This window comes from Homo sapiens, chromosome 19 (genome assembly GCF_000001405.40).
Source record: "Homo sapiens chromosome 19, GRCh38.p14 Primary Assembly".
NCBI classification, from domain to species: Eukaryota; Metazoa; Chordata; class Mammalia; order Primates; family Hominidae; genus Homo; species Homo sapiens.
Genome location: NC_000019.10, coordinates 38,250,680 through 38,260,021, shown reverse-complemented (window position 1 = coordinate 38,260,021; position 9,342 = coordinate 38,250,680). Strand labels below are relative to the sequence as shown.

The following is a 9,342-nucleotide window of genomic DNA, read 5'->3' as shown; positions in this document are numbered from 1 at the left end:
AGATTACAGGTGTGAGCCACCACGCCTGGCATGGACAATACATTAAATGAGTACATTATATATAATGTTAGAGGCCAGGCATGGTGGCTCATGCCTGTAATTCCAGCACTTTGGGAGGTCAAGACGGGCAGATCGTCTGAGGTCAGGAGTTCGAGACCAGCCTGACCAACATGGTGAAACCCCATCTCTACTGAAAATATAAAAAGTAAGCGGACACAGTGGTGTATAACTGTAGTCCCAGCTACTCAGGAGGCTGAAGCAGGAGAATCTCTTGAACCCAGGAGGCAGAGGTTGCAGTGAGCCATGATCACAATACTATACTCCAGCCTGAGGTGACTCCAACTCAAAAAAAAAAAAAAAAAAAAAAAAAAAAAAAAAAAAATATATATATATATATATATATATATAATGTTAGAAAGTGGTAAGTGTTATGTATCAAACAGAGCTGGATGAGGGGCACGAGAGTTGCAGTGTGAAATAGCGTGGCCAGGGAAGACCTCACTGAACAGTGACATTGGAGGGAGGTGAAGGAGTGAGCCCTGATGATATTCTAGGGAAGAACCTTCCTGGCAGAGGGAACTGCGAGTGAAAGGTGCTGGTGCTGAAATGGGACTGTCCCTGGCAGAGATGGGACTGCTAAACCAGAGTTTGGCCTTTAGACTGAAGGTCATGGGTAGCTATGGATAGTTGTTTTTTATTTTTGTTTTTTTAGAGATGGGGTCTTTCTCTGTCGCCCAGGCTGGAGTGTGATGGCACGATCTCAGCTCACTGCAGCCTCCGCCTCCCAGGTTCAAGCAATTCTCCCACCTCAGCCTCCTGAGTAGCTGGGATTACAGGGGTGCACCACCATGCTTGGCTAATTTTTTTTGCATTTTTAGTAGAGACGGGTTCACCATGTTGGTCAGGCTGGTCTCAAACTCCTGACCTCAGATAATCCACTCACCTCAGCCTCCCAAAGTGCTGGGATTACAGACGTGAACCATGGCGCCTGGCCTGTTTTTAATTTTGAAATAAAACAGCTTTATTGAAGCCGGGCACGGTGGCTCACGCCTGTAATCCCAGCACTTTGGGAGGCCTAGGCAGGTGGATTACCTGAGGTCAGGAGTTCAAGACCAGCCTGGCCAACATGGTGAAACCCCGTTTCTACTAAAAATACAAAAATTAGCCAGGCGTGGTGGCACACCCCTGTAATCCCAGCTACTCGGGAGGCTGAGGCAGGAGAATTGCTTGAGCCTGGGAGGCAGAGGTTGCAGTGAGCTGAGATCATGCCAGTGCACTCCAGCCTGGCCAACAGAGCGAGATTCTGCCTCAAAAAAAAAAAAAAAAAAAAAAAAAAACACAGTCTTATTGAGATATAACTCACATACCATACAACTCACCCTTTATTTATTTAGAGATGGAGTTTCACTTTTGTTGCCCAGGATGGAGTGCAATGGCATGATCTCAGCTCACTGCAACATCCCCCTCCCAGGTTCAAGCGATTCTCCTGCCTCAGCCTCCTGAGTAGTTGGGATTATAGGCATGTGCCCCCATGCCCAGCTAATTTTTGTATTTTTAGTGGAGATGGGGTTTCACCATGTTGGCCAGGCTGGTCTCTAACTCTTGACCTCCGATGATCCATCCGCCTTGCCCTCCCAAAGTGCTGGGATTACAGGCGTGAGTCACTGTGCCTGGCCCAACTCACCTTTTTAAAGTGTATAGTTTGGCCAGGTGTGGTGGCTCGTCCCAGCACCTTATGAGTTTCATGACTGCAATTTTTTTCCTCCCATTCCATGGGTTGTCTCTTCACTTTCTTGATGATGTTCTTTGAAACTCAAAAGTTTTACATTATGGCTGGCTGGTGGAGTGAGGTGGCTCATGCCTATAATCCCAGCACCTTGGGAGGCCGAGGTGGGAGGATCGCTTGAGCCCAGGAATTGGAGAACAGCCTAGGCAACATAGGGAGACCCTGTCTCTACAATTTTTTTTTTTTTTTTTGAGATGGAGTCTTGCTCTGTCACCCAGGCTGGAGTGCAGTGGTGCGATCTTGGCTCACCGCAATCTCTGCCTCCTGGGTTCAAGCAATTTTCCTGCCTCAGCCTCCCCAGTAGCTGCAATTACAGGTGCACACCACTACGCCTGGCTTTTTTTTTTTTTTTTTTGTATTTTTAGTAAAGATGGGGTTTCATCATGTTGGCCTGGCTGGTCTTGAATTCCAGACCTCGTGATCTGCCCACCTCGGCCTCTCAAAGTGCTGGGATTACAGGCATGAGCCACCATGCCTGGCCTTTTTAAAAAAATTATTTATTATTATTTTATTTATTTATTTATTTTGAGACAGAGTCTCGCTCTTGTTGCCCAGGCTGGAGTGCAATGGTGCTATCTTGGCTCACTGCAACCTCCACCTCCCGGGTTCAAGCGATTCTCCTGCCTCAGCCTTCCGAGTAGCTGGGATTACAGGCATGTGCCACCAGGCCCAGCTAATTTTTGTATTTTTAGTAGAGATGGAGTTTCACCATGTTGGCCAGGCTGGTCTTGAACTCCTGACCTCGTGATCCACCCTCCTTGGCCTCCCAAAGTTCTGGGATTACAGGAGTGAGCCACTGCGCCCAGCCACATTTAAATTTTAGAGTATAATTATTGCTGCTTATAATTAGAAGTGAGAAGACTGTTTTGAAGTAAGGGACTTCCCTGGCCACCCTCGCTAAAATTGCAACCTTACCCTCACTCCATTTCTCCTTCTCTGCTTTATATTTCTCCAAAGCACTTATATGATAATAAACTGTATAATACCGTACTTACTGTGTTTCTCATGTATCCCGGCTACAACTGTCAACTGCGTGGGACTGGTTTTGTCTGTTTTGTTCCCTGCTCTATCCCTGGAGCGTAAAGCAGTGTCTGGTATAGAGTGGATACTTAATAGATATTCGTTGAACCGGGCCAGTGGCGGTGGCTCACGCCTGTAATCCCAGCACTTTGGGAGGCGGAGGCAGGCAGATCACTTGAGGTCAGGAGTTCGAGGCCAGCCTGGCCAACATGGCGAAATCCCGTCTCTACTAAAAATACAAAAATTAGCCGGGTGTTGTGGTGCATCCCTGTAATCCCAGCTACTTCGGAGGCTGAGGCAGGAGAATCGCTTGAACCTGGGAGGCGGACGTTGCGGTGAGCCGAGATCGCGCCATTGTACTCCAGCCTGGGCGACAAAGAGAGACATCGACTCAAAAAAAAAAAAATTCGTTGAACGGAATGAGTGAACAAACAAATGGATGGATGAGTGAATGAATGAACGAAGGAACAAGTGACCGCTCGACCTTCTACAGCGACAGCGGCGCAGGCGCTCCCGCACCAACAGCCCCCCACCCCGCCACCGCCAGAGGGCGCAGACAGGCCGGGTCCCGAGTGTCTGTCCCAGGCCCCCGCCCCACAGGATCCCGGCCCGGGAGCCCCCGATGCAGGGACCCGCCCGGGACTCTGGGTCCCCGCCCATACCTCAACTTCGCACGACTGCGTGCCTCAAGCCGACGCAGCGGCCTACTCTCGCACTGCAGACGGGGAAACTGAGGCCTGAGGCGGCCGGGGTGGGGCAGACCTCCCGGCGAGCCCGAGCCCCCGCCCCCGGCTAGCCCCGCCCTGGCCCGTAAGAAGCACCCGGGGCGCGAGGCGAAGGCGCACAGCGCGGGGCCAGGCTGGGTCCAGCAGCGCGATGGCAGCTCAGCGGCTGGGCAAGCGCGTGCTGAGCAAGCTGCAGTCTCCATCGCGGGCCCGCGGGCCAGGGGGCAGTCCCGGGGGGCTGCAGAAGCGGCACGCGCGCGTCACCGTCAAGTATGACCGGCGGGAGCTGCAGCGGCGGCTGGACGTGGAGAAGTGGATCGACGGGCGCCTGGAGGAGCTGTACCGCGGCATGGTGAGCCCGGGGAGGGCTCGGGGGTGGTCGGGGACAGATAGAGCCCGGGCGCGGAGACCCCACGCCCTTGGGGTCTCGGTGCACACTCGCTGGTGCACGGCCAGCCTGGTCTGCACAAGAGGACGAGCGCCCCAGGGCCGGGCACTCATTGGCCTGGCCATCCGTGCTCTATGGCATTGTGCTTGTGGACACACCGAGAGCAACACACAAAGACTTGGGTCTCCAGAGATGTGTCCAAACGCCTGTGGAGGGCCAGGGGTTTAGCATGAGGAGGGAGGAGGCTAAGTTGAGCTGAAACCGCCACGTCTGGAGAAAGAGTGGGGGAAGGGGGGTGTCATAAAGCCAAACACAGACATGGTGACAGGGGAGATACAGCCACACAGAGACCCACGGCAAAGGAAGCAAAAGCAGACACAGATGTGCACAGTGAAGGAAGCTATAGCCACTCACGGACACAGCCCAGAAGTAACAGCCATGCACAAACCCACAAGGACACAAGCGGGGGCTGGGGGGGGGTCACCTACAGTTCAACATATGCTACAGTCACAGCCACCCGCAGACACAGCGGCATGGGCCACAGCCGTAGGCAGACACAGCACAACCCCACTGGAACACAAAATGACTCAAGTTACGGCCCTTCCTTATCTCCTAAAGAAAAAACTGACCACCTTCAAGCACAAGCGCTGATCCGCAGCCACTCAAAGACATAAAACAACAGAAATTGGCCCAGCACAGTGGCTCACGCATTTTGTGAGGCCGGGGCAGGAGGATTGCTTGACGTCAGGAGTTCAACACCAGCCTGGGCAACATGGGGAAAACCTGTCTCTACCAAAAATCTTAAAACTTAGCCGGGCGTGGTGGCATGCACGCACTTGTAATCTCAGCTCCTCAGGAGGCTGAGGTGGGAGGATTGCTTGAGCCTGAGAGGCCAAGGTCACAGTGAGCCAAGATTGCACCACTGCACTCCAGCCTGGGCAACAGAGCGAGACCGTGTCTCAAAAACAAACAAAACCCAACAGAATTTATAACTACACCCAGACATAAAACTGTGTAAGCACCGGGCACGGTGGCTCACGCCTGTAATCCCAGCACTTTGGGAGGCCGAGGCGGGCGGATCACCTGAGGTCAGGAGTTTGAGACCAGCCTGATCAACATGGAGAAATCCCGTCTCTACTAAAAAATACAAAATTAGCCGGGTGTGGTGGCACATGCCTGTAATCCCAGCTACTCGGGAGGAGAATCGCTTGAACCCGGGAGGAGGAGGTTGCGGTGAGCCGAGATCCCGCCATTGCCCTCCAGCCTGGGCAACAAGAGCGAAACTCCGTCTCAAAAACAAACAAACAAACAAAAAACTGTAAGCTATAGGAACAGGTGGACATACAACTGCAGAACCCACCGCTGCTCACAGGCACACAAGAGCCTAAGCCACAGCTACATGTATTGACACACACAGGTACTTCATCACTTGAGTTTCTGCTTGAAGTCACACTTTCAGTGACTTCTTTTTTCTTTTCCTTAGAGGTGGGGCCTCATTGGCCGAGCACAGTGGCTCACGCCTGTAATCCCAGAACTTTGGGAGGCCAAGGTGGGCAGATCACTTGAGGTCAGGAGTACGAGACTAGCCTGGCCAACATGGTGAAACCCTGTCTCTACTAAAATTACAAAAATTAGCCGGGCATGGTGGCAGGCAGCTGTAATCCCAGCTACTTGGGAGGCTGAGGCAGGAGAATCACTTGAACCCGGGAGGCGGAGGTTGCAGTGAGCCAAGATCGCGCCATTGTACTCCACCCTAGGTGACAGAAGGAGACTTTGTCTCAAAAAAAAGAAAAAAGAAAAAGAGATGGGGCCTCGCTATGTTGCTCAGGCTGATCTTGAACTCCTAGGCTCAAGCAATTCTCTCTTGTCGGCCTCCCAAAATGTCAGGATTACAGGCGTGAGCCACTGCGCCTGGCCTTCTGTGACTTCTGTATGCTACAGTGTACACAGGACCCACGAGTCCTCCTCTTCATGGTGCGACAATGGTGGAAGGCATGGCCCTTCTCCCATGGTGACATGCAGTCCCTCTGTTCTCAGACTCACACCTGGGCCCATACAGGTGAACCAATCTGGTTGCTAGTGGCAGGTGGCATCTATGAGGCCATTCTCAGGTGGTGGGCCCCACAGCTGACTGTGGACACATGCTGATGTGTCACACACCCAAGCCAGAGCCACACACCTCACACCTGCAGGACCACAGTCCACTATACGAAGCCACTGCACGATGCCAGGTCCCTCTGCATCCTCGGCCAGCCCCAGGCCCTTGGCATCAGGCTGTGGCCCTGGCAGAGACTCACACACCTGTGTCCTTGCTGAAGCCCCTTCACCACACATGAACCAGGACCATCCAGCCCTGAAGCCCCAGGCCTGAAGCCGACAGCCGGACTTTGGGTTGGGGAGGAAAGGATTCATAACCCCAAGGCTCTCTTGCTCCCTCGACAGCTGGGGACAGCTGGGTCCTATTCCCAGCAGGGGTACTGAGCCAGCCTGCGCTTGGGCCACTGCCTGTAGAGGCCACACTCAGCGCCCCGCTCTTAGCAGCTGAGTTGAGCCATGACTCATCCCACCCACCCACCTTGAGGGGCCTCGGTGGTCCTCCCTTCGGTCTCACCAGGCTGCATTTTGGCCCTCTGGGGGCTGGCCCAAGCCGTCCCCTCCCTTCCTGTCCCCTCCCTTCCTGTCCCCTGGGGGAAGGGGCCGCCCCAGCTGGCTGCTGGCTGCCAGCCTCTCCTCCCCTGCACCTAGTGCTAAGACTTTTCCTTGAAAGGGCAGAAGCCAGCTCCTCTCCCGAATCCCAGAATCTGACATTCCAGGACTCCACTAGGCCTGTTTTCCTCTGTGGGAACTAGAGCCAAGGCGAGAGACCCGTGCCAGCCCCGAGGCTCCCGGGGCCCATGGGCCCAGGCATCGGGCTGGTACAGGGCCCCGGGGCTCTCTCAGCCCATCTGTCACCCCTCCCCCCCAACACCCAGATGTCCCGTCTTGGCAGTGCTGTCCCGGACTGCCACATTAATGCTCCAGAACCCGCCAGCTGGGCCCTGGGGCCGGTGGGGCTCCTGCAGAGCCCTGGACAAAGGCGAGGGAGGGAGGGAAGGGGATCCTAAGCACCCCTCCCTCCCTGGCCCTAGGAGGCAGACATGCCCGATGAGATCAACATTGATGAATTGTTGGAGTTAGAGAGTGAAGAGGAGAGAAGCCGGAAAATCCAGGTAGGTGGGGGGACGTGTCCCCCAGCCTCCCACTTTGCACCTCCCTAAAAATAATAGCAATAGTTCACGTGTTTACTGAGTGCTCACTAGATGCCGGGCACTGGTGTGATGGCTTTACATGTATTCACTCACTTAACCCTCACAAAACCCTCCGAAGCAGGCGCTAGTGTGAGCTCCATTTTCCCCATGAGGAAAATGAGGCCCAGAGAGGTTGAATCCCTTGCCCAGTGTCACACAGCTCAGAAGGAGCAGAGCTGGGCATCGAACCCAGGCAGTTTGGCAGCCATGTCTTTGCTTATGGCTTATACCTTTTTAGAGGAGGGAAGTGCTGTGTGACCCTCTCGCCCTCTCTGGATCTAGTAACTCACCCCTGCCCTGAGTCGATCCACATGCCCCTTGGGCTCTGTTCCTCTCTTGAAGCTTGGTGGGCAGTCCACCCTGGAGTCTGACTTCCATTTGTCTTGCTGCTGGGGCCTTTTGGGAAAGGGAAGGGGCTGGAGGGGAGTAGGTGTTAGTCATTTACTGTTTTGTTTTGTTCTTGGTTGGGGGTTTTAGGGACTCCTGAAGTCATGTGGGAAACCTGTCGAGGTGAGTTTTCTCTCCCTCATTCTCTCCCTGTTCTGGCCCCAAGTACTCTGATGGGGGAGGGGGAAGAAGCTGGCAGAAGGGTCTCTGGGGAACACCACCCGGCCCCACCACCCCCGGCCCCAACCTGCCCTCCGCAGCTCTTTCTGGTCTCCAGGGGTGTCTTTTGTCCTCCTACTTGTCTCTCTCCCTCTCTCCCCCATCTGCTGAGGGGGCTCCATTCTGTCCTCCCCCATCTGCCCTGTTTTTGCCTCTCCTGTGCCTGTCCTTTGGCCACCAGCCTTCGGGCTCAGTCTCCCTCTGTCCTCCCCTGTCACTGCCTCCGCCACCCCGGGCTCCCTTCCCCACCTCTGGGGGCCCTCCATCCTCCCAGGCCCTGAAGCTGAGCGGCCCAACCCCTCCCACTTCCTTCCCTGCTTTAAAAGGGAAAACTATTCATGTTTCTCCAACTAGCTCTAGGGACAAACGTCATTGCATTTCTGTTCGCCCTGGATCTATCTCTGGGGACCTGTCTCCACATGTCTCTGTTTCTTTCTCTGTCCTTATGTCTCTCTCTGTCTCTATCTCTACATGTCTCTCTGTTTCTGTGTCTGTTTCTCCCCCTCCCCCACTCCGTATCTGTCTCCTTGGATCTCTATCTCTCTTCCTAGCTCTTTCTCTCCATCCCTCCCATCGCCCTTTCCCCATCTCTGTCTTTCTCCCGGCTCACTTTTCTCTCTATGTCTATAGCCTCCGCCCCTAACTCCCCCCACCCCACAATCAGAGAACAGGAGGAGGCGCCCAGGTCAGGGACTGGGCTGGACAGGGGCAGAGGGTGCCCCCGCACTGTTCCCATGTTCTCAGCTCCCCCACCCTGTCTCAGGACTTCATCCAGGAGCTGCTGGCAAAGCTTCAAGGCCTCCACAGGCAGCCCGGCCTCCGCCAGCCAAGCCCCTCCCACGACGGCAGCCTCAGCCCCCTCCAGGACCGGGCCCGGACTGCTCACCCCTGACCCTCTTGCACTCTCCCTGCCCCCCGGACGCCGCCCAGCTTGCTTGTGTATAAGTTGTATTTAATGGTTCTGTAACAATAACACTGTGTGGCTGTTTTTCCTCCCCCCGGGTTACCATGGGCTTCCCCGAGCTCCCCCCACAACCTCCCTCTCTCCTCCTGTGGCCTCTGCTCATGTCCCTGTCCCAGCACTGCAGCTGGGCCTGCCAGATGGAGAATCACTCCTCCCGGGCCAGAAAGCATGAGAACGGGCCCTGCTGAGCCCACGCCCTTGGGATTTATATCCTAGACCTTGCCTTCCCTTGAACTCCCCACCCCACCCCCATCCCCAGTCCCAGCAAGCAGGGCCCCTATATGCAGGCTCCTGCAGGAATCTGGGTCAAGGGGCATGCTCATGACCAAAGGTGACCGATATTGACTCAGTACAGGTGATCACACAGCAAACAAATCATTCAGCCACTCCATGAAATCTGCGCTGTGCTTATAATGGCCCTTGGTACTGAGGCTGCAAAGATGAGAGGAAGATGGTCTCTGGCATCAAGGTGCTCACACACTATGGGGGGAGAAGGGCCTGAGTGTGAGAATCAGAACAAAGTGTGCTGAATGGCTCAAGATACCTGGGAGCTTGGCAGAGGGGAG

General features: G+C 54.7%; 1 protein-coding gene across 2 annotated transcripts, besides 1 other annotated feature; it reads left to right on the top strand.

The window, feature by feature from the left end:
• PPP1R14A (protein phosphatase 1 regulatory inhibitor subunit 14A) lies at positions 3,648-8,785 on the top strand. Of its 2 annotated transcripts, NM_033256.3 has the most exons (4): positions 3,648-3,883; positions 7,048-7,128; positions 7,684-7,716; positions 8,576-8,785. In NM_033256.3, the coding sequence occupies exons 1-4, from the start codon at positions 3,683-3,685 to the stop codon at positions 8,702-8,704; spliced, it is 444 nt and encodes a 147-aa protein (NP_150281.1). In that variant the 5' UTR covers positions 3,648-3,682; the 3' UTR covers positions 8,705-8,785. The 2 variants fall into 2 exon arrangements, with proteins under 2 accessions (NP_150281.1, NP_001230876.1); NM_001243947.2 differs by lacking the exon at positions 7,048-7,128.
• Positions 3,669-3,856: a silencer, noted in NCBI's record as "fragment chr19:38746806-38746993 (GRCh37/hg19 assembly coordinates)". NCBI's record gives its function as "represses an EF-1alpha promoter that drives an FKBP-Casp9 reporter gene in an ReSE screen in K562 erythroleukemia cells {active_cell/tissue: K562}" and the evidence as "EXISTENCE:reporter gene assay evidence [ECO:0000049][PMID:32094911]".
• Positions 8,786-9,342: the final 557 nt, after the last annotated feature.

What these genes read in the sequence shown, in the direction of transcription:
- PPP1R14A (NM_033256.3), top strand. Translation starts at nt 3,683, where the DNA reads ATGGCAGCTCAGCGGCTGGGCAAGCGCGTGCTGAGCAAGCTGCAGTCT. An exon ending in AGGAGCTGTACCGCGGCATG is followed by an intron (nt 3,884 to 7,047) that starts GTGAGCCCGGGG and finishes CCCTGGCCCTAG; the next exon opens with GAGGCAGACATGCCCGATGA. An exon ending in CATGTGGGAAACCTGTCGAG is followed by an intron (nt 7,717 to 8,575) that starts GTGAGTTTTCTC and finishes ACCCTGTCTCAG; the next exon opens with GACTTCATCCAGGAGCTGCT.